This window comes from Homo sapiens, chromosome 6 (assembly GCF_000001405.40).
Source record: "Homo sapiens chromosome 6, GRCh38.p14 Primary Assembly".
NCBI classification, from domain to species: Eukaryota; Metazoa; Chordata; class Mammalia; order Primates; family Hominidae; genus Homo; species Homo sapiens.
This window is the reverse complement of record NC_000006.12, coordinates 151,233,364-151,258,100: the sequence shown is the minus strand read 5'-3', so window position 1 is coordinate 151,258,100 and position 24,737 is coordinate 151,233,364. Positions and strand designations below refer to the sequence as shown.

At 43.8% G+C, this 24,737-nt stretch overlaps 1 protein-coding gene across 2 annotated transcripts in view, besides 2 other annotated features; it reads right to left on the bottom strand.

Moving 5' to 3' along the window:
- The window catches only part of AKAP12 (A-kinase anchoring protein 12), a 118,593-nt gene extending 100,459 nt beyond the window's left edge, over positions 1-18,134 (bottom strand). Inside the window, exons 1-2 of one of the 2 annotated variants that reach the window (NM_005100.4) lie at positions 18,042-18,134; positions 17,377-17,717 (exon numbers count right to left, since the gene is read on the bottom strand). In NM_005100.4, the coding sequence (NP_005091.2) occupies positions 17,377-17,538 (162 nt within the window). In that variant the 5' untranslated portion in view covers positions 17,539-17,717; positions 18,042-18,134. The remainder of the gene's footprint in view (positions 1-17,376; positions 17,718-18,041) is intronic. The other variant, XM_017011517.3, reaches the window with a different exon arrangement.
- Positions 17,167-17,744: an enhancer, noted in NCBI's record as "H3K27ac-H3K4me1 hESC enhancer chr6:151561492-151562069 (GRCh37/hg19 assembly coordinates)". NCBI's record gives its function as "activates a minimal SCP1, AML or CMV promoter by ChIP-STARR-seq in primed H9 embryonic stem cells {active_cell/tissue: H9 hESC(primed)}" and the evidence as "EXISTENCE:reporter gene assay evidence [ECO:0000049][PMID:30033119]".
- Positions 17,822-18,331: an enhancer, noted in NCBI's record as "H3K27ac-H3K4me1 hESC enhancer chr6:151560905-151561414 (GRCh37/hg19 assembly coordinates)". NCBI's record gives its function as "activates a minimal SCP1, AML or CMV promoter by ChIP-STARR-seq in naive H9 embryonic stem cells {active_cell/tissue: H9 hESC(naive)}" and the evidence as "EXISTENCE:reporter gene assay evidence [ECO:0000049][PMID:30033119]".

The following is a 24,737-nucleotide window of genomic DNA, read 5'->3' as shown; positions in this document are numbered from 1 at the left end:
TGGCCCCAGAAAATATGGTTAAGGGAGAGTTTGTAGGCATAAGTGGCTTGCCCCAGGAGGGTTAGCTCCACATGCAATTACGTGCCATAGAAATTAGTTCTACAAACAGTTGTTACTGGAGACCAAAAAATAAAAACTAAATCTAATGCAAATTATCAGAATTATTTGAACAATGAAATCCATCCAAAGTGTGCTCAATGCAAAAAAATTTTACTTATCCTCATTTTCTACTCCTCTTTCTCTTCCACCCAATCCCCAAAGTATCAGCAAGTCTAGACAGATGTAACTTAATAAGGAGATTAAAAATATGAAATCTTTCATCAGGATAATCTAAGGCACTTCCCACATACTGTAAATTTAAAAGTTGTGACATGCAGCCATAAAAAAGAATAAAATCATGTCCTTTGCAGCAACATGGATGCAGCTGGAGGCCATTATCCTATGCGAATTAAGCCAGGAACAGAAAAACAAATACTGCATGTTATCACTTGTAAGTGGGAGCTAGGCTGGGTGCAGTGGCTCACGCCTATAATCTCAGCATTTTGGGAAGCTGGGGTGGGTGGATCGCTTGAGGTCAGGAGTTCAAGACCAGTCTGGCCAACATAGTGAAACCCTGTCTCTACTAAAAATACAAAAATTAGCCAGGCGTGGTGGTGCACAACTGTAATCCCAGCTACTCAGGAGGCTGAGGCAGGAGAATCGCTTGAACCTGGGAGGCAGAGGTTTCAGTGAGTTGAGATCACGCCGCTGCACTCCAGCCTGGGCGACAGAGCAAGACTGTCTCAAAAATAAAATACAAATAAATGAATAAATAAATAGGAGCTAAACATTAAGTGCTCGTGGACAGAAAGATGGCAACAGTAGACACTGGGAACTACTAGACAAGGGAGAGAGGGAGGGGGCAAGAGTTGAAAAACTACCTATTAGGTACTACGCTCAGCACCTGGGGGATGGGATCAATTGTACCCCAAACCTCAGCACCACACTATATACCTAGCTAACAAACCTGCACATGCATCCCCTGAATCTAAAATAAAAGCGAAATTATTTTTTAAAAAGTTGTGGCATATTTCATATCTTTCCATTTAACCAAAGATTAAAGAATAAGAATCTCTCTATATTTGGTTAATTTAAAGTTTATATATATATATAGGCCGGGCGCGGTGGCTCACGCCTGTAATCCCAACACGTTGGGAGGCCGAGGCAGGCAGATCACCTGAAGTCAGGAGTTTGAGACGAGCCTGGCCAATATGGTAAAACCCGTCTCTACTAAAAATACAAAAATTAGGCAGGCATGGTGGCACACGCCTGTAGTTCCAGATACTTGAAAGGATGAGGCAGGAGAATCTCTTGAACCTGGGAGGTGGAGGTTGCAGTGAGCCGAGATCGCGTCACTGCACTCCAGGCTGGGTGACAGAGTGAGACTTCATCTAAAAAAGAAATAAAAAATAAAATAAAATAAAATTTATACATGTGTATATACACACACACACATATATAAAAAATACAATCATCTTTATAGGAAGAAAATGAAATTCCACCCTTTCCCCTTCCTAAAGAAGAGAAAATTTTCTTTAATATCTTAAGATTATTTTCTCAGTCCCAGATTAGAATATAAAGTTAGGTAATTATTGGCTTTATATTGCAGATCATAATAAATGCAGAAGTCACACCCTACTGTTCAAAATTCTCCACAGCAGAGCCACAAAATACTACTAAAGCCTTCTGAATTGCTATTCTAATTGTGCTCTCTTCTCTAGCCTGGCCTTTCCAAACTGTATTTGGGTAAAGATGCACATTCCATTTCCCCTTTTGAAGATTAATAATTAATAATATTAACATATTAAGGGTTCTGGAAAGTTCTGCAGTCTGGAAAATCCAAGCTTTAACTCAACTTTTCCTAGACTATTTTTCAATCAGTATTTCTTCCAACAGGCTGAGGTTCCTTCCTGCCTCATTATTCAGTGGTTCTTTCTCTCGTGCATCTCCATTCTGCAAAGACTCAGCACAAATTTCTCTATGCCACCTTTCCTGGTACTCAGTATCTCTGAGCACTGTCGGATTGGTGCCTCTTGTCCAGCACTTGGATGCAATTCAGGGCAAAACCTGGTACATGAGCATGTTTAAGTCCACAAATGGCTGGGTACATGCTCAGCTGGGTCCCCTGCAGTGCTGAACACTGGCAGCAAAGAAAGACCCCAAGTTCAAGTTCAGTTAAAAGGCTCTCTCTGGTTTTCCCTTCTTCCTAAATTTATTTACACATCAATTGTCCATTAGCGCTTGCTTTTTGCTCTTTAAATAATTTTTTTGTTTTGTTTTTGGATAACCTGTCATCCAGGCTGGAGTGCAGTGGTTCAACCACGACTCACTGTAGCCCAGACCTCCCTGGCTCAAGCAATCCTCCCACCTCAGCCTCCTGAGTAGCTGGGACTATAGGCACATGCCACCATGCTTGGCTAATTTCTTGTAGAGGCAGGGTCCCAGTATGTTGGCCAGGCTGGTGTTTAACTCCTGGGCTTGAGTGACCCTCCTGCCTCGGCTTCTCAAAGCACTGGGATTACAGGCATGAGCCACTACGCCTGACTCTAAACAATTTTTATTCCAGGATCCCACAATAAAGAAACAACATTTATCAATCCCAGCCAGGCGCGGTGGCTCACGCCTGTAATCCCAGCACTTTGGGAAGCCGAGGCAGGTGGATCACCTGATGTCAGGAGTTCGAGACCACCCTCAACATGGAGAAGCCTCGTCTCTACTAAAAATACAAAATCAGCCGGCGTGGTGGTGCATGCCTGTAATCCCAGCTACTCAGGAGGCTGAGGCAGGAGAACTGCTTGAACCCGGGAGGCAGAGGTTGCCGTGAGCCGAGATCGTGCCACTGCACTCCAGCCTGGGCAACAAGAGCGAAACTCCGTCTCAAAAAAAAAACAAAAACATTTATCAATCCCATCTACTGTTTTTCCAGTCACCTGCCTATAACTGTAACTTCATTTTTGTTGACAAGGGTGCAGGCACATGTGCTGAATCTGTGACTTTCAGTCCAGCCCTCCTAGCGGCTGGGAAGTTAATTCAGCCCCCAAATTTGCCTACAACTAAAGCATTCTGGGCGAAGAACAAGCTGGGTTCTGAAGATCACAGGGACTGCTTGAGAAACTTTCTCTGACAAATGTAATACTTTAACATGACCTACTTCCCTGAATACTTAAGCATTCTTTGCATTCCTCCCTGTCATGCAGAGATTGTTTATCAGGCACAGTTCCAGAAGTGACTTGAAATCTCTGTCATTGTTGCGATTCAAGATAAAATTGTAAGCCCTCTTCAGTCACCAGATTCTCAGTTTAGGACAAAAATTCAAAAACCTCAGTAAGTCTTTAACGAATATCAAACGAATAACCGATCGTTGTCTTAATCAAGGCTAAATGAGCTTTCTGTATTATCAACAAAATGAAGACTGATCTAAGGCCAGGCGCAGTGGTTCACACCTTTGATCCCAGCACTTTGGAAGGCCGAGGTGGGTGGATCAAGAGTTCGACATCAGTCTGACCAACTTGGCGAAACCCGGTCTCTACTAAAAATACAAAATTAGCCGAGTGTGGTGGCGCATGCCTGTAATCCCAGCTACTTGCAAGACTGAGGCAGGAGAATCTCTTGAACCTGGGAGGCGGAGGTTGCAGTAAGCAGAGATCACACAACTGCACTCCAGCCTGGGCAACAGAGTGAAACTCCGTCTCAAACAAAAAAGACTAATCTAAAACTGCCATCAAACTGAGTTCAGACTAAACTTTAGTTCCTGAAGGTTTTACAAAGAAAATAAATCAGCTATAAAACCAATCAACTGGGTTTTTGCCCACATTAAGGTCAACTATTTTTTGTTTAAATTTTATTCCACTGCTTTTGTCAGTGGAATACAAAGATTGTAATGGTCAAGACTAATTTAGTAAACTTTTGTAGTGACATGTTCCACTGCTTTTCAATAGCTTATTTCATGTAAAACAGAGCAGAACAAGAACAAAAATTTCCATTTAAATATTTAGGTTAACAATATAGGAATCAGGAACTCATGTCTAAGTATTGGATAAATACGTCATTTCTGGCCGGGCACAGTGGTTCACACCTGTAGTCCCAGCACTTTGGGAGGCCCAGGGAGGCAGATTACCTGAGGTCAGGAGTTGGAGACCAGCCAGGCCAACATGGTAAAACCCCGTCTCTACTAAAAATACAAAAAAATTAGCCAGGTGTGGTGGCTCACACCTGTAATTCCAGCTACTCAAGAGGCTGAGGCAAGAGAATTGTTTGAACCCAGGAGGCAGAGGTCACAGTGAGCACCACTGCACTCTCCAGCCTGGGTAACAGAGCAGGACTCTGCCTCAAAAAAAAAAGTCATTTGTGAAAAAAATCATCATAGCAAAATTGGCTAATTCTTAGCAATCTCTTGTAGACTACAATCCTATTCCCCCTCTCCCTCCCAGTTTGTACTGCAGTGCATATCAAGTGTAAGTTCAAAGTAGATAGGCCACCTAAGGTTGAAGTTTCTATAGGATTCAATATATTATTGATGTTGAATAAGACTGTTTTGGCCGGGTGCAGTGGCTCATGCCTGTAATTTTAATTTCAGGAGGCCCAGGTGGGACTATCCTTTCAGCCCAAGAATTCGAGACCAGCCTGGGCAACACAGCAAGACCTGTCTCTTTTTATTTTAAAAGAAAAAAAAATTAAAACGAACAAAAGACTTTTACATATGTATCCAAATGAAAAACAATTTCAAACGAAAGTTTCTAAAGACATATTCTTTGAGTAATTTCCTATAACTTTGTGAAAAATTATCACCAAGAACTGAAAACATAAAGAGGTTAAAAACTGTGAAATGCATCAACAATCTTGTCTTACGTATCACAACAAAATATACTTTACAGAGTGAAGAAAACTAGGAGCCAATGAAGCATGTCTTCACTAAAAGTGGTCAATATCAGGGAGTGACAATAGAAATTCATCATTGTGGCAGGTAAAACCCAGGGCCTGTAATGGCTCAATTCAATAAAAAAATCATAGGCTCAGACACAAAGAAAAATAAATCATAAATTGTTTTCTGAACAACAAACCAAAGGGCAGACACTGGGGATGGAAAAATTACAAAGCGAAAATGTCTTCTCTGGAGGGAAAGACACGCATTCCCCAAGCAACCTCATTTCTTTGCCTACAAATGGAAGGAATACAGTCAATGACCAGGCTCTTTCATTTTTTAGGTGCACCCAGCCATGCTGGGATAGAACAGTCACTGTGGCATGATGCCATCACGATCTGCCAACTGCTCATCCGGCGGCATCTCTTTTATCTCGTTTTCTCATCTTTTTTTTTTTTTTTTTTTTTTCCCAGAGACAGGGGTCTTGGTATCTTGTCCAGGCTGGTCTCAAATGCCTGTAGTCAAATGATCTTCCCACCTTGGCCTCCCAAAGTACTGGGAATACCAGGTCCACCATGAGCCACCATGCTCACCTCTAGTCCTCTCTTCTACTAAGACTCACTTTGGTTCCACCTGCACTTCTCCATAGCCACTATCGGGGCCTTCAGTGTTGATCATCTCTTTTCCTAAAAAACTTGACTTTCTGGCCAGGCACGGTGGCTCATGCCTGTAATCCCAGCACTTTGGGAGGCCAAAACAGGTGGATCACCTGAGGTCAGGATTTTGAGACCAGCCTGGCCAACATACTGAAACTCTGTCTTTACTAAAAATAGAAAAATTAGCCAGGCATGGTGGCCTGCACCTGTAGTCCCAGCTACTCGAGAGGCTGAGGCATGAGAATCTTGAACCCGGGAGGCGGGGGTGCAGTAAGCTGAGATCGCGCTGCTGCACTCCAGCCTGAGTGACAGAGCGAGACTCCATCTCAGAAAAAAAAAAAAAAAGAAAGAAACTTGACCTTCAGCTGTGCCTCCCTTGCCCAATACTCCAAAAGCCTCGATGGCCTCCAATGCCAGTGGTCTCTGCTGTGACGCAGACCACTATTAGAGAAATGCTTTGAGTTCACGGAAGCCCTCTGTCATTATCTAGAGAGTCTGCCTCAAACCTCTGCTTTACTTCTATTTATTTATTTATTTGTTTATTGAGGCAGAGTCTCACTCACGCTGTTGCCCGGGCTGAAGTGCAGCAGAGCGATCTCAACTCAATGCAGCCTCCGCCTCCCGGGTTCAAGGGTTTCTCGTGCCTCAGCTTCCCAGGTAGGTGGGACTACAGGCGCGTGCCACCATGCCTGGCTAATTTTTGTATTTTTAGTAAAGACAGGGTTTCACCATGTTGGCCAGGCTAATCTTGAACTCCTGACTTCAGGGGATCTGCCCGCCTCGGCCTCCCAAAGTATTGGGATTACAGGCGTGCGCCACTGTGCCCGGCCAAACCTCTGCATTACTTTAAAGTCCCAAGTTGTTATTATCAAGTGATGTTCTCTGTTCTAAAGGTACCCTTAGTATAAATTTTTTGGCATGGTTTGTTACACACCAGTAGATAACTGAAACCAACATCATGGAGTAGATGTTCTTGTCAGACTATTGGAGAAATAGAGGTACTCCATCTTCCAACTCTTAAAATCTCATTGTTTGTGACTTACCCCCATGCCAAGCCTCTACCCTGTGCCAAATCTCACTGCCCCACTGATATCTGAGATGTCACTACCACACTGTGAAAATGCTTGCCAACATAATCTCCCTGAAGTCACCCTTTCTAGTCACACTTCCCACCACTTTACTGTGCGGATGTTATCTCTGCCTTATACAAGAGGGTCTCCCAGGGGTTCACGACGCACTCACCTGGTATTTCTGAAACTTTGTTTTGTTCATTGTCAAAAGCCGGCAGTGGCTCTCTATTGCCTCTGCAGCTCTTAACATCGACGGGCTGCAACTTATCCTCTTTCATTGTTTCCTTAAGAACTACCAACTCAATACGTCTTGTACCAGAAGGCCTCCTGACTAATGGCCTCTTATCTGCCTAGAACACTTTCCCAAAAATTCTTTTTTTTACAGTAGTACTAATGGCAATTCTTCTATTACCTAGCCAACTTATTGGAATCTTTGCTGTTGAATATTTCATCTAGAAAGGCCTTACCTCATCTCAATTATGAGGTGTTCAAGGGTAATGTTTTTATTTCTTTATCTCCCAAAGCATCTAGAACATAAGTATGTGGTTAGAAAATATCTGACCATTTTTGGCCGGGCGCAGTGGCTCACGCCTGTAATCCCAGCACTTTGGGAGGCCGAGGCGGGTGGATCACGAGGTCAGGAGATTGAGACCATCCTGGCTAACACGGTGAAACCCCCATCTCTACTAAAAATACAAAAAATTAGCCGGGCGTGGTGGCGGGCGCCTGTAGTCCCAGCTACTCGGGAGGCTGAGGCAGGAGAATGGCGTGAACCCGGGAGGCGGAGTTTGCAGTGAGCCGAGATCGCGCCACTGCACTCCAGCCTGGGCAACAGAGCGAGACTCCGTCTCAAAAAAAAAAAGGAAAATATCTGACCATTTTTAATGAATGCTATTACATACCAAGAAAACAAGCTAAGCTTAAAAGAACACACGATTCCCATTTTCTTATTTTATTTATTTATTTATTTATTTTAAGATGGAGTCTCACTCTGTCACCCAGGCTGGAGTGCAGTGGTGCAATCTCGGCTTCACTGCAAGCTCCGCCTCCCGTGTTCAAGCGATTCTCCTGCCTCAGCCTCTAGAGTAGCTGGGACTACAGGCAGGCGCCACCACACCCGGCTAACTTTTTTGTATTTTTAGTAAAGCGGAGTTTCACCATGTTGGTCAGACTGGTCTCAAACTCCTGACCTCAAATGATCCACCTGCCTCAGCCTCCCAAATGCTGGGATTACACGCGTGAGCCACAACGCCCAGCCTATTTATTTATTTTTTTGAGACAGGGTCTCTGCAGCTTCAACTTCCCGGGCTCTAGTGATCTTCCCACCTCAGCCTCCCAACTAGCTGGAATTACAGGCATGTGCCACCACACCCGGCTAATTTTTAAATTTTTTGTAGCAGTGGGGTCTCACTATGCTGCCTAGGCTGATCTTGAACTCCTAGGCTCAAGTGATCCTCCCACCCTCACCTCCCGAAGTGCTGGGATTATAGGCATGAGCCACCATGCCCACCAGGTGTGAGCCACCATGCCCACGAGCCACATGTTGGTATTTATGTATGTATGAACTCACCATAGCCATGAAAGAGACAAGGGTAACACTTGAGATGTAGAATATAAAACTATTTTAAACCATGGGCTTGCTATTATAATTGATCAGATGTTTAGCCACTCCCACAATGCTTTCAGTTTATTGCACAAATAGACACAGCAGAAAAAATTTAAAAGTAAAAGGAAATCAATAAACAGGTTTATGCATATATGGAAACTTGAGTTTTAACAAGAGGTAACTTTTTAATCAATGGTACTGGAGCAATAGGTAACCCATATAAAAATGAATTTAAGATTTCTCCTTCTAGACATCATCAGTAGCTAGTGGAATAAAGATCTAAATATATGAAAGAGAGAACTTTAACTTTTTTAGAACTGAACTTCTGTTTCCCCAGTTCCTAGCACAGTTCCTGGAGTACAGAAGCTAGTAAAGAAGTATTTATGAAATGGCCAGGCGTAGGTGGCTCACCCTGTAACCCAGCACTTTGGGAGGCCAAGGCAAGAGGATCACTTGAGCTCAGGAGTTCGAGACCAGCCTTGGCAACACAGTGAGACCTTGTCTCTATTATATTAAAAAATAAATGGAAGAAATTAAAACAGAAATATTTATGAAATCAAGATTGAATAGTAAGTGGCTGAGAAAGCCAGAACTCTATTCTTCAACAACTTGGTAGGTTTTAAAATTTCTTTACAGATTTTTGGACCAGTCAAATGCCATAAACTAAGCCCTTAGCTACTGTCTACTTATTCAGCACAAGGGAAGTTTTAAAATGATAAATAAGGGAAGAGGGCTTAGGAGGCAATGAGATGGAAGGGGAACACCGAAAAGTCACAGCTTCTGGCTCAGTAGGGATACGGGCATTTCACTGAACACCTACTTACCTTGAATGGCACAATCTATTTTAAAAAGCCTCCGTTAGCAATCCACTTTTTTTTTTTTGAGACAGAGTCTTGCTCTGTCGCCCAGGCTGGAGTGCAATGATGCGGTCTCGGCTCACTGCAACCTCCACCTCCTAGGTTCAAGCGATTCTCCTGCCTCAGCCTCCCGAGTAGCTGGGATTACAGGTACACACCACCATACTGGCTAATTTTTGTATTTTTAATAGAGATGGGGTTTCACCATGTTGGCCAGGCTGGTCTTGAACTGCTGACCTCGTGATCCGCCCGCCTCGGCCTCCCAAAGTGCTGGGATTACAGGCGTGAGCCACCATGCCCGGCCAGCAACCCACTTTTTAATATAGTCAAACAAAGGAATGAAATTATGTGGAAGAAATATTTTCCTTTATTTTATCCTCCAGATGTGTGAAGGAAAATGCTACTCTTTCATCATGTGAAACCGTCCCTCTCACCCACACAAGTTCCAATCTCAGTGAAATCTGCACATGCTATCACCCAGTGTCACCTAGACCTGAACCTCTCCCTGGCCCTTATTCAGCTCTTACGCCTACTCCTTCCCCTCCCTTAAGGTAATGGAGCCCACACCCCACACATTAGAATATCTGATGAGCATTTTAAGACTACAGAATCCCAGCACAGTGGCAGGAGCTGGTAGTCTCAGTTACTCAGGAGGCTGAGGCCAAAGGATGGCCTGAGTCCGGGAGTTCAAGACTAGCCTGGGAAACACAGTGAGACCCTGTCTCTCAAAAAAAAAAAAAAAAATCACAGAATCCCAGACCCTGAGATTGCCTGGGATTCTAATTCAATAAATCCAGGATGAGGTGTAGGGGTGTCTTTGAAAAGCTCTCTAGGTGATTCAATAGCACCACCAGGTTTGGGAATTAGGAAAAATTTAATCCTTCAATACTCCCAGTTTGCAGTATTTGCATATAACAAATAGATGGTCAGCCAATAAACTGCAGTAATCTCTCCTTCTTAAATTTTGGTTTATTTCGTTTTGAAATCAAACATGAAACTGACATGCTACTACAACTGGGATTAAGATTAGGCAGAGAGAAACTACAGGGTTTCCCCCATTTAAAAAACATCACAGAGAAATCACAGGGAAGACAAAAAGCTTTGAACCTGAAATGAATACTTGTATTAAGAGGTGCCTAATGGTGTCCCGGTGTCCCAGATGGTTTCCTGTGCTTTGAACACCTACATTTTTCTCAGAAAATCCATGTATACCATCCAGTTAACAGAGCCAGGCTGTTTGCCGTGAGAACGGGAGAGGATCCCGGGTAAGCCTTCACTCTATTGTTTTCCCAAGAGGTGGATTTCTGCTGCTTCCAATCCCTGATCTCAACATTTCACGGATCATGACCACAAAGTAATTTCTGGCAACTAAATGATTTTAGATTGTTCCAAGAGAAGAAATTTTAAAAGTGATAGCTAAAGAAGTAGGTCATCCTCCAAGCAAATAAATTTAAAGATGGTTCATTAATTTGGAAAGGAAAAGGAGCAAAGGAGAGTAAGACTGCTCTACCTCAGCTGCGTTTTTATTCTTGAACTTGCTTTTTTCCAATTTGATTAATTTCTGGGGAAAAAGTTTTTTTGTTTTTTTGTTTTGTTTTGTTTTTTTAAATAGAGATAGGGTCTTGCTCTGCCACCCAGGCTGTAGTGCAGTAGCATGATCATAGCTCACTGCAGCCTCATACTCCTGGGTGGAAGCAATCCTCTCACCTCAGCCTTCCAAGTAGCTAGGACTACAGGTACACGTCACCGCACCCAGCTAAATTTTTTATTTTTTGTAGAGATGGGGTCTTGCTATGTTGCCCAGGCCACTCTTGAACTTTCTCTCAAGTGATCCTCCCTTCTTGGCCTCTCAAAGTGCTGAGATTACAGGTGTGAGCCCCCACACCTGGCTAGAAAAAAAAATCTTTAAAAATTAATTGGGCAGGGCATGGGGGCTCACACCTGTAATCTCAGCACTTTGGGAGGCAGAGGTGGGAGGATCACTTCAGTCCAGGAGGTCCAGACCAGCCTGGGCAACACAGTGAGACCTTGTCTCTACCAAAAATAAACAAAATTAGCCAGGCATGGTGGTGTGCACTTGTAGTCCCAGCTACCTGGTGGTGTGTGCCTGTAGTCCCAGCTACTCAGGAGGCTGAAGTAGGAGGGTCATTTGAGCCCAGGAGGTCGAGGCTGCAGTAAACCAAGATTGCACCACTGCATTCCACACTGGGCAACAGAATGAGAGCCTATCTCAAAAACAATAAATAAATAAAATTAAAGTTAAATGAAAATGAAAATGAAAATTAATTAACAGTGAAACAAACCATAGCCTTTCATGCTCTGACAGCCAGACCAGTGCATGATCAGATGGCAAGCACATGGCAGAGAAACATGATGAGGCATTCAACTTCACAGTTAAAAATGCACCAAGGAAACTGAGGTACCATTCTTCACCTAGCACATTGGCAAGTATTGGAAAATCTGATACCCATGAAGGCAAAGCATGGGAAAACGAGTGCTGATCTCCACGGTGGAACTGCAAAGTGGTAGAACCTCTTTGGAAAGTCAATTTAGGAAGGGTTAAATTTTTTGTTTTTGTTTTTGTTTTTGTTTTTGAGACGGAGTCTTGCACTGTCACCCAGGCTGGAATGCAGTGGTGAGATCTCAGCTCACTGCAACCTCCCCCTCCCAGGTTCAAGAGATTCTCCTGCCTCAGCTTCCCAAGTAGCTGGGATTACAGGCACCTGCCACCACACCCAGCTAATTTTTTGTGTTTTTAGTAGAGACGAGGTTTCGCCATGTTGGCCAGGCTGGTCTCGAACTCCTGACCTTGTGATTCACCTGCCTCGGCCTCCCAAAGTGCTGGGATTACAGGCGTGAGCCACCGCACCTTGCCGGGTTAAATTTTTAAATGCATATAAAGCTTGCAATTCAGCAATTACACTTATGGACGAGGACAATCTAAATATAAACCCAAGGAATTGGTTAAATCGTTACAGGGCTTCAACCCACAAAAGGGAAATTTATGCACCCAAATTAATAAGAATGGGGGCAGTTATTTATGTCCTGATATGAAAAGACATCCAAAACCTAAATCTATATGTGATATGATCTTTTTCTTAAATGGAAAAGACTGTGCCATTTTTATCTACTTTCATGTGCATGAAGTTTTCGAAAGAATATGTAAGAAGCCATCATATTGGCTTCAAATTTTACTTAAATTTGTGAGTAATTTACCCTACTTATAAATTTAAGTTCTCAATCATTAATTTTTTTAAAAAATAAACATTAAATGAATATTGCTATGCAATGACTTTAAATAAAAATCATTAATAAGGGTAAACACATGCTTTTGATTTTTTTTTTTTTTTTTTTTGAGACGGAGTCTCTCTCTGTCGCCCAGGCTGGACTGCAGTGGTGACTGCAGTGGTGCCATCTCGGCTCCCTGCAAGCTCCACCTCCCGGGTTCACGCCATTCTCCTGCCTTAGCCGGGTGGATCACGAGGTCAGGAGTTTGAGACCAGCCTGGCCAACATGGTGAAACCCCATCTCTACTAAAAATACAGAAACTTAGCTGGGCGTGGTGGTGGGTGCCTGTAATCCCAGCGACTCGGAAAGCTGAGGCAGGAGAATCGCTTGAACCTGGGAGGCAAAGGTTGCAGTGAGCCAAAAAAAAGAATTCGGTTCAAGGAAATTTAGTTGCTTTTTTTTTTTTCAAGAGATAAACGTACTGGCTTAATTTTTCTTAGAATGCTTAGTGCTATAAATTCTAATTTCTAACTTCGCATGAATGGCTACTGCATATAGAATTATAGAGATGGGGGATGATGCCATTTAGTTTGAGTTTTCCTGCACTGGTGTTCTTTAAGCACTGAATATGTATTAAAACTAACTAAGACAAAGGAAAATAAATAATTTATTAGCATTTTTAAAAACAAAACATTTTATTTCCATTTTGTTAATTATCTTACAAGATCCAAACTAGAATAATCTTATAATGTCAGCTTAAAGCTGTAAAGGCATAGAAATTAGTCAACCCAAAGAGGATGCACATTTCAAGGCCTTTTCTTCATAGAAGGAAATATTTCAAGAGAAAATCTCCACTTATCTTATTCATCCACTAGCCTATAAGCTGTAATGGATTTAAAGGAAGCCCTGCGATTCCTGCAGTCTATCGGTACCCAAAAGAATCATCCCCACATCCATATCTCCAATTTTTGGTCTCTGTTCTGATCAGAAATTAGCAGCTCTTATAATCTGGTAAAAATCCACAGGAATACAAGTAGCCACACACAGAGAAACATCCCTCTATTAAGAAACATATAATTCTTGCCTTAAATTCTGGCCCATTTTTGTAACACTGGTGATGTAGTCACTTTGAGGCCATCTTCGTTCTCCATTTCCATTGCTAAACAAGTGGCAAATAGGAGGAAGCTTATGGGAGGAATTATGAAATGCAGCTGGCCGCCTCAATTGTCTGGTTTTGTTTGTTTGTTTGTTTGTTTCTTTGAGACAGAGTCTCGCTCTGTTGCCCAGATTGGAGTGCAGTGGCGCCAACTCGGCTCATTGCAAACTCCGCTTCCCGAGTTCACGCCATTCTCCTGTCCCAGCCTCCCGAGTGGCTGGGACTACAGGCGCCCGCCACCACGCCTGGCTAATTTTTTGTATTTTTAGTAGAGATGGGGTTTCACCGTGTTAGCCAGGATGGTCTGGATCTCCTGACTTTGTGATCTGCCTGCCTCAGCCTCCCAAAGTGCTGGGATTACAGGCGTGAGCCACCGCACCCGGCCAATTGTCTGTTTTAATGCACGAGGGTCAAACACATCCTTAAATTTACCAGTCAGACAACGGACTCTTCTATTCGAGTACATCTTTATGTTTTGGTGATTCAAGGCTCTTGTAATCAAATGGAGCTAACAAGAGCCCCCATCTCCCCACCTGCCAGAGACAATGGCCTCACCCTGTTGCAACAGACCATTGTTCAATGTCCAGCATTGAAATCATTCATCAGGCAATACATATAGAAAGGCTAATTAATTGATTGTCCAGACTTAGTCTGGAGCCTGGCTCCAGAAATCAAGATTAGCCAGAGACATGGAAGTCAGTTTGTCACTGGTCACCCCACCCTCTGTTGCCACCTGAATATGTTGCCACCTTAATATTTTTTTAAGACAAATTTTTAAAAACAGACAATTAAGGAATAATGTGAAGTGTGAGGCTTTACTTACCACCAGCATTCAGGTCATCTAATCTTCCCGCACCCTGCAGTTGTGAAACGGCCATGTCTCAAAATTAAACCCTGGCAGATAACAGACCAAGCCATTCCCCCTGCCCCCGCCTGGATCTTACATATAAAGACTGTAAAAGATTTCCAGTCTATCTCTGGATCTAACGGAAAAAATAAAGATTACAAAAGATTGAATAGAAGATAAAGACTCCTTCCATTTTACAGAAATGAACCATAGATAAAACCAAGACTTCTGCTTTAGTGCATCTAAACGTTAAGCCTGAGTAATCAAAAGCTTGTTTAACTCTCCATTTGACCTAATACAAGTGATAATTCAACCAGTGTAATGTCTGTTCAGATAAGGGCACTTAGTGAATAACTGGTAACTAAAACTAGCAGAAAAAAAGGAAAGTAAATCCAATTGCTAAATAGATAGCATGCATGTGATATAAATGTCAGCTATTAGATAGAAAAAGATCTGCCTACAACCTTTAATTAATGACCACATTCTATCCAAGGAGGGAAAAATGATGTATTAGCCTAAACCTCCCCAACCGTCCACAGACACATCAAGGAAGTTCAAGATGTAATCCTAAGTAACTCAGGGTATGAAATGGACTCATTTGAGCCATATGCACTTCATATATTTGTCTATTTAAGATAAAACGCAATTTGAAATTGCAATGCTAACAAGTCACTCTATATCTAGAGAAACAGAATCCAAAGCCCCCAAATCTGAAGTTTTTGGTCAAACTATTCACTTGATCTATTAATAACCGAACAGACTGACTTGCCTTAGTCACTATCATAATCAGTCTCACGTGATAATGAAATGATCAAGGGTTAAATTGTAGTAAAATCAGATAGGTCAAGGTATTCTCCAACTTGATATTTTCCAATCAAAACCAAGGAGCCAATATCACCCCTTCCTCTTTCCACAAGTATTCCTGAGAGCTGCCTCTGTGCCAGGCAACATGGCACGCATGAAGGAACACCGTTGGTCGGCACAACCAGGCGTGTTCCCTGCCCCTGCGAAGTATTCACAACAGCAAGAACACTAAACCCACACATGTGAAAACTGCTGGGACGGGTCCATGGTGCCACGGAGCCTAGAGTGGGAGATGGGATTACTTGGAGGTCAGGAATTGGAGCTTAACAAGAAGAGGGGAGGCAAGGGCCATGGTGCTGAGTCATTCTTAATTGGGGAGTCCTTTTGAAAAGACATTTGTGTTCAAAGCCTGAGTGATAAATTTGGCTAGTTCAAATGAAAACTAAATACATTCCAAGGATACATGTAAGTGCACTGATTTGTCTCCAAATTGATAACTGGGCATTATGCCAACAAGTTCAATGATATTCTGGATGTCATTTAAGTGATTTTTTAAAAGGAGGTTGTTTGGTTGCTTCAAGACGGTTGGCAACTTGGAAAGAGGAAAAGGATAAGGTTATGGAAGACGGAAAAAGAGAATGGAAGGAATATTTTTAAATAAACAAATTCAAGTTTACTGGGAAGGGATTAAATCCCATATTTCAGGGTGAACAGTTAGTAAGATCTGAAGGAGTATAAAAGCCGGGGCGGTGGGGGGAATGTCACCCAACTGCAAGTTTTTAGCAATTATACCTTAAAATTATTTTCATCGCTAGACTCTGACCACTGGTTACAGAGCCACTTTGACAGTAGCTGGCATCAAAACATTATGTGCATACAGTAAGTATTAAAATGCGACTTGAATCTCAAAAGGACAGTACATTCCTCAGGCCAGAAGCTTAAGCATCTCTTAGAAAAACCTACATAGCACAGAGACACAGTTAGTACTTAATATCTAGGGACCATGGATTTTACAAGTAGTTATGAATCAAAGACTGGCGGTAAAAACTATATTATTAACAGCAGTCTCTCAGCCCAAAAGAGACTAGGGCAGCTAAGGAGGTCAAGGCAATTAGGTCATGGTTGTAGGTTCCTTTTTTTTTTTTTTTTTGCATATTGTAAACATCTACACCTCCTGCGATAACTCACGTACTCTATCCTCAAATTTGACATACCGCAAATTTAACTATTAAACATGGTTATCCACATCTTTCTACAAGGTATCACAAGGGTACCTTTGTGATACAAGGGTATCACAAAATCAGTAGAGTGAAGCCTTGCTAATGAACACATGCGCTGGAAAATAGATCTAAAATACCACGACCAGAACAAGCCACAGTCTTGGCGGCTGTCCTGGCCCACAAGAAATATTCCAGCCTTGAAGACTGAAGCCGATAAAATGCAGTCGTTTCAGCACTGCGTCCAGGGAAGAGTACCCGGAATGCTCGTTACACTGACCCCATCCTTTGAGAACTTCTAGCCACTCTAGCGTGTGTTTGGCCAACTGAGTCTGCAGGCAAAGCGCTGAGCGAACGCGAGGGCGCTGGCTGGTTTGCGAAACCTGTCATTCCTTCTGGAAACGCAGCGCCTGCCCAGGTTTTTCCTGGCTCTGAGCGAGCTACACCCCAGGCTTTCTCTGCCTCGGGAAGGCGGTGCCTGCTCGGGCCGCTGCCGCAGGAGGACTGGGTACCAAACCCGCTCGCTCCAGGCACCGCTGGCATCCAGGGCGGTACGCGACGGGGAACCCGAGGGTGGCTGGGCTCCCCGGCGGGCTCCACCACGAGTCCTGGCCTCACAGCTGACTTTCCGCATCTCGGAGCTCCGGAGGCCCGGCCCGGGGTCCATTCTCCACGGATCCCCCTCCGCGCAGCTCCTCCGCCTCGGGCTGCATGGCTCCCACCGGAAGAGTGCGCAGAAAGGCTCAGCCGCCGTGGGCAGGGCGCGGGTTTTATTATTGCGCATGGCGCAGTCGCCTCCCCTGGAGACCCGCGACAAAGATGCAAGCCCCCCGCCGCGCTCGCCGCTGCTCTGGCCCCGCCCCGGCGCGAAAGACCCTGAAAAGCCTCCAAAGAGGGGTTCGCACTCCTGAGTTTGCAGATGCGGCTGGATGGGCTGGGAAGTTCTCTCGGCGGAAATCGGAGGGACCCCCCCACCCCCACCCCCACCCCCAAAGACCCGCGCCTCCCGGCGCAGGTGGCCCGGCACGCCCGTACCTTGGTGGCGGGGTCCGAGGCAGCGATGGCGGGGTCCGCGGTGGTGTCTGGCGCCGCCTCGGCCGAGGGGCCGCCGCCGCTGGGCTCGGGCTCAGCCGGCGTGGAGCTCCCCTCGGGCGGCTGCTCCGGGCTGCGCTGCTCGGTGGAGCTCCCGGCGCCCATGGCTCCTCCGCACTTCTCCCGCGCCTAGCCGCCGGGTTACGCCTTCCCCAAGCCGCAGGGACAGGGGCAAGAGCCAAAAGACGCGCGCCCGCGAGGTCCCGAGAGCGCCTTCCTTCGCCGCCAGCCGACTGCGAACGCGCCCAGCCTGCGAATGAAGGAGACGCGCTCGCGGCAAACTCCTTAAAAGAAAAGGAAAAAAAAAAAAAGGCCACCTCTTAGCCTCCGCCCCCCTCCCCCCGGTTTTTCCCTCGCTTCATCACATGAGCACAGCCCCAGACACGCCCTGCAGCAGCATCTGCCCCCAGGCTGCCGGGACCAGAGGCGCTGCGACGCGCCAGCCCAGGTCCAGGCAGCCGCCCACCCGGCCCTCGGGCGCCTCCCGTTTCTAACAGGGCGACTAGAGCTGCGGGGACGACCCAGGGCCTCAGAAGGCAAGAGAGCAGGGGAGCAAAAAGCCTGCCGGGGACACTGGATTCTCTGGGGTTTATTAAATGATGGATCACCCAAGGCAGGAGCTTCTGCTGCAGCCGACTTTCAGCTCGCCCAGGAGCGAGTCCGAGTCCCCATTTGCTTTCCTGCAGATTGTGTTTAACTCCAAACATTTGTTCCAGCCTCCTCCCCATTAGCAGGAGAAAGGCAAGCGCTCCCTGGCTCCTCCTGAGTCCGACCATATTTGGGCACCTCACGTGGCAAGAGCAGGGAACCGAGAGGTTAACGCAGTCAGGCCACGGATGAGGTGGGCCACGCAGGCCCACGCTCTCCTATCCTCCGGAACAAGTGATGTCAGGCGATGCCATCAGCAGTGCTAGCCGCCCCCCTTCCCCCGGGGAACGGGGGGAAATGAGGCTGTTACCGGAAATGTGCCCGTCCTTCTTTGAGGGCCTGTGCTGGAAGTTACCCATCCAGGCCACCTCTGCTCCGCGCGATGCCGACACATGACAGCATAGATCTGTTCCTTTGCCGTCAGCCTTTCTCAAAAGATGAAGACTTTAAATAATACCAGCACAAGTGGCTTGCATCCTTTCATTTCCGACCCTTGAATATAATATGTATTACATGAGCATGGCAGCCAATCAATAAGTATTTGAACTAAATTAAATTTGTAGCTGGATTGCTTGGCGCAAAGCATTAAGGCTTTGGGGCTGAAAGACAAAATTTATTCCAGTTGTAACTAGCAACCGAGTGCCCCAGTTTTCACAAATACTTTGAATCTCCATTAAGAATGAAGAAACCAGCCTGGTTAACATAGCGAGACCTTGTCTCTACAAAAAATAAAAAAATTAGCCAGGCGCAGTGGTGCACCTGTAGTCCTAGCTACTCAGGAGGCTGGGGACGCTGGGGTAGAAGGATGACTTCAGCCCAGGAATTCGAGGCTGCAGTGAGCTATGACTGTGCCTCTGCACTCCATCCTAGTCGACAGAGCAAGATTCTGTCAAAAAAAAAAAAGAAAGAAAGAAGGAAGAAACTTTCGGAATATTCACACCAAATTCCAGATAAATATCTCATACTCAGATTTAGTACAATTTTGTAGAAAGGGTGTAAGCAGTAGTTCAGCACTAGGATGTTTCATGCCTAATGAATTGCATGAATCGAATGGTACCCTGGGAACCATAGGTTAGTTACTCACCATCAAATTTGTTTTCTGAATTAATTTTTTTTCTTTTTCTTTTTTTGAGACAAGGTCTCGCTGTGTTGCCCAGGCTAGTGTTGAACTCCTGAGCTCAAGCGATCCTCCTGCCTTGGCCTCTCAAAGTGCTGGGATTATAGGTGTGAACCACCACACTGGGCCTGTTTTCTGAATTAATTATTTTTATTTAAAGGACTACACGAAGGCCAATTTCTCTGGAGTTTATCTCTTAAGAAACAGTATATTTGCAAAATGCTTAGTTTTAGGAATTTATACACATTTCCCCCATTTTGACTTAAATTTTGACTATTTAGGAAACATTAGAATTCTTACTCTGTACCAGGCACTGTTCAATGCACTTTACATAATAATCTTTACAATAACCCCATGGGATAGATAGTATTATTCTCATTTTACCATTGGCAGGAGGGGGAGGAGTAGGCCCGGAGAAATTAAATTGTGTGCTTCAGGTTTCACAGCCAGGAGTTGGAAGAGCAGGAAGTCCAACTGGCATCTGCTTTCAGGGTCCACGCTTCACCACCGCATGGCACTCCCCTTCCCTTTCAATCAACTGTGTTCTCTCCTCTCAGAGGTGTTACTGAAACGTGGCATTTGGACCTCACTTAGGATTTTAAGAGCAAAAAGCACTGTTAAAACCTACTTGAGGCCAGGTGTGGTGGCTTACACCTGTAATCCCAGCACTTTGGGAGGCCGAGGTGGGTGGATCACCTGAGGACAGTAGTTCAAGACCAGCCTGGGCAACATGGTGAAACCCCGTCTCTACTAAAAGTACAAAAATTAGCCAGGCATGGTGGCGCGTGTCTGTAATCCCAGCTACTCAGGAGGCCAAGACACGAGAACTGCTTGAACCTGGGAGGTGGAGGTTGCAGTGAGCTGAGATCATGCCATTGCACGCCAGCCTGGATGACAGATTAAGACTCCGTCCCAAAAAAAAAAAAAGAAGAAGAAAAAAAAAACTATTTGAGAATGATTAACGTCAGCACATTTGAAAATGTATCAGTAAGTAGCACAAATACTATCAACATTTTCACATTCTGTGAGATTATATTTACTTTGTTCCTGGGAAATTCTTAGCAAAGCTTTTCACATCTACTACCCTTTAAATTTTCAGAAAGGATTGCAGGGTCAAGCCAACAGTGTACAACCTACGTGCTGAGGAAGATATCAGCATCTGCTTAGATTAGCAGTTACTTGCTTTTTGTTTATTTTCCAGGCCATGTAAATGTTCATACTCTTATTTGTAAAAAGTAAAATCATTGCGCTGGGCGCGGTGGCTCACGCCTGTAATCCCAGCACTTTGGGAGGTTGAAGTGGAAGGATTGCTTGACACCAGGGGTTCAAGACCAGCCTGGGCAACACAGTGAAACTCCCATCTCTACAAAAAATAAAAAAAAATTTAGCCAGGAGTGGTGGTGCATGCCTGTAGTCCTAGCTACTTGGGAGGCTGAGGCGGGAGGATCACTTGAGCCCAGGAGTTCCAGACTGCAGCCTGGATGACATAGTGAGACCCTGTCTCAAAAAAAAAAAAGAGAAGAAAAGAAAAGTGGTTGTGTTATTAATGACCTCTAGCGATGAAATAGCCCAACCTTTTGGGTATGCCACTTAGTGCTTCAGAATGCTACAAAGTTTGTTACTTTTTTTACTTTTCTTTCTTTCTTTCTTTTTCTTTCTTTCCTTCTTCTCTGTTCTTTCTTTCTTTTTCTTTCTTTCCTTCTTCTCTTTCTTTCTTTCAATAAATTTCTATCAAGTACCTATTATGTGCCAAGCACAAAGTTACCACTCTAGTTTCCAAGGTTCTAAATCGAGTCACTGAGGTTTTCTTTTCTAGGGCTTCCAAGATGCCTTCGGAATTGCTTGGATTGGCATCAGAGTAGAGGGGAGGCAGGTGTTCTCTATTTTTCACTTCTCAGTCCAAGGCTGTTGGTTCAATGTCTCACCAGCAGCTCAATTTTTCTCCAAATAGCAGGATGCAGGTGTCCCCACACATCCTCTCCCATGGGGCAGTCGTTGGTAGAGCTGTTTCCCTGAGAGGGTTAATTCTCTCATAAACACAGTTTGAGATTTCTCAAAAACAAATACATGTTGCCTGTGTAGCAGGCTGAACCTGTACTTCGCACACATACTTCTCCAGAAAGACGGGTCACATGAGGTTTAACAATAAAATGTAGAGTCATAGTTGGGCACCTTGTGCATGCACCAAAACAGTTTCAAATATAACATTAAAGGAATTCACAAATGTCAAACATTTTACAACTGAGTTCAGACACCCCCTTCAAAGTGCAATAATAATTTTAATTATTAAAACAGTTTAAAATCTACCGTTAACTCTACCCTAAAGATTCATTCTCTAGTTACAAAGCCTTCGCTGAGACTGGCAACTCTTCACCTTCACCTTTGAAACTGCTTCTCTCTTGATTATAACTTCTTTGTTTTCCCTGGATAAAACACCTACTTCTTTCTAAACCAGTTGTTCCCACAGAGATATCCAGTCATCTAAGAACCTAATTCCCACTCTATCTTGTGCTCGTGTGAATTTGTTATTCTTAATACTCCCTTATCACAGAGCTGTTTCAGGCAGAATAGAGAGTACTAGAATGTGCGCATGCATCTCTTAAGATATGATTTTACTTTTTACAAATAAGAATATTAACATTTACATGGCCTGGAAAATAAATAACCAAGAATAATGTTATTACCCTGTTGAGAAGTCTATGGAAGAAACTGTGAGTAAATTATTTGAATTTTACTTTCTATGTGAGGATTTGAGACGGATTATTTTAGAGCATTAATTATAATTTGCTAATTATAAACTAGAAGAATTAACAGTTGTATTCAATTCATGAGTACTTAATAATCTAAAATTCATATGGAAGCTACAGAAAATGTTCAATTTACAGATGAAGTTTAAAGCTCAGCCGCTTGTAGACATACATCACGTATATATATATAGGCAAATGCTATCCTTGTAACTCTTAAGGAATTTATTGCTTTGGAGTTAAGTATAAAGCCAGCTATTTGGATCTCAGTTTCATTTACCAAGGTTTAAGATTGGTGCCTGACTCAAATTCAGGATTACTCTCAAGTAACAAAGGAGGGACTGGAACCAAGATAGAGTAAATGATGTGTCCAATATGGAGAAAGAATTTCTCAGGATGCACTGTTAGAAGATACCAGAAGGTATGTGGAAGGTGTCTACATTCCAGGGTAGATCAAGTGGCTGTAATCCTCACAATTTCAAATCCCTTCTACAAAGGACCCTATAAGTATCCAACATTAAAATATATATTTTTCACATATTAATTAAATAAACTTTCACTGAGTTGAGTGCCAGGCAAAATGCAGAGGACTTTTCAAAGTTGGAAACTTTGCTTCAATAAGTCAACATTGCGCACTCAAAACAAAGCTATTATACAATATATTATACGATGTGAACTGTAGATTTTATGTTCCTCTACCAACTTAAATCCCTTTGTGGCCTGGTGCGGTGGCTCACATCTATAATCCCAGCACTTTGGGAGGCGGAGGCGGGTGGATCACCTGAGGTCAGGAGTTTGAGACCAGCCTGGCCAACATGGTGAAACCCCGTCTCTACTTTAAAAAGATACAAAAATTAGCCAAGCGTGGTGGTGTGCGCCTGTAATCCCAGCTACTTGGGAGGCTGAGGCAGGAGAATTGCTTGAACCTGGGAGATGGAGGTTGCAGTGAGCCAAGATCGCGCCACTGCACTCCAGCCTGGGCGAAAGAGTAAGACTCTGTCTCAAAAAAAATAAAAAAGAAAAAAAGATTAGGTTGTGAATTGATAAACATCTCAACTAGCAATACACAAAGGAAAGGTGGATAACCTGATCTAATGTTTATTTTGTATTCCTTTAAGTTAGCTTGCTAAATGCTTTTAAAATCATAACAATAGCAATAAACCTATATAAACATGCCCAAATGATTTTTGACAAAGGCTCAAAAGTATTCACATGGAGATGTCACTAGTAAATAAATAAATAAATAAATAAATAAATGTATTTTTTAAAAAGACAAAGGTGCAAAAGTAATTCAATGGTGGATGACAGCCTTTCAACAAATGGTGCTGAAGCAATTGGACATTCATGGGCAAAAAGTTAACCTTGACTTATGTCACACATCTGATAAAATAATTAACTACAAATGGATCACAGACTTACACGTAAAACACAAAACTGTAAAACTTTTAGAAAAGACAGGAGAAGGCCAGGCGCGGTGGCTCACGCCTGTAATCCCAGCACTTTGGGAGGCTGAGGTGGGCGGATCACAAGGTCAGGAGATCGAGACCATCCTGGCTAACAAGGTGAAACCCAGTCTCTACTAAAAATACAAAAAATTAGCCGGGCATGGTGGCGGAAGCCTGTAGTCCCAGCTACTCAGGAGGCTGAGGCAGGAGAATGGCGTGAACCCGGGAGGCGGAGCTTGCAGTGAGCCAAGATCTCCCCACTGCACTCCAGCCTGGGAGACAGAGCGAGACTCCGTCTCAAAACAAAAAAAATGAAAAGACAGGAGAAAATCTTAGGAAGCTAAGGCTAAGCAGGATAGTTCTTAGACTTGATACAAAAAGCATGATCCATAAGAGGAAAAACTATAAATTGGACTTCACCAAAATTTAAAACTTTTGTCCTACATAAGACCCAGTTGAAAAGATGAAAAGAAAAGCTACAGATTGGGAGAAAATGTTTGCAAACCACATATCCCACAAGGGACTAGTATCTAAATATAGAAAGAATCCTTAAAACTCAGCAGTAAAAAAACAAGCAAACAAACAAAAAATCAACAAGAACACAGGTAAAATACTTGAAGCAACATTTTATCAAAGAGGATCTACAGGTGGCAAATAAATTGTGTGCAATTTGGGAAAAGCAAATTAAAACCACAGTGAGATATCACTACACAATGATCAGGGTGGCTAAAGTGAAAACAATAGTGACAACGCCAAATGCTGATGAGGCTGCAGAGAAACTGGATCACTCATACACTGCTGGTGGGAATGTAATATAGCATAGTCACTCTGGAAGACAGTTTGGCGGCTTCTTTTTTTTTTTTAAACTGAGTCTCACTCTGTCGTCCAGGCTGGAGTGTGGTGTGCGATCTTGGCTCACTGCAACCGCCACCTCCGAGGTTCAAGCGATTCTTGTGCCTCAGCCTCCCAAGCAGCTGGGATTACAGGCGCAAATCACGCCCAGCTAATTTTTGTATTTTTAGTAGAGACAGGGTTTCACCATGTTGGCCAAGCTGGTCTCGAACACCTAACCTCAAGTGTTCTGCCTGCCTCGGCCTCCCAAAGTGCTGGGATTACAGGTGTGAGCCACTGTGCCTAGCCGGCAGCTTCTTAAAAAACTAAGAAGCCAAAAAACAAAAAAGACAAGAAACATGCAACTACCATACCATATGACCTTACAGTTACACTCCTGGAGCTTCACGTAACAACTTGAACATGCAGTTTATACCAGCTTTACTTGAAATAGCCCCAAAATGGAAAACCTAGATGCCCTTCAACATGTTAGTTAAACAAACTGATCTGCCCATACCA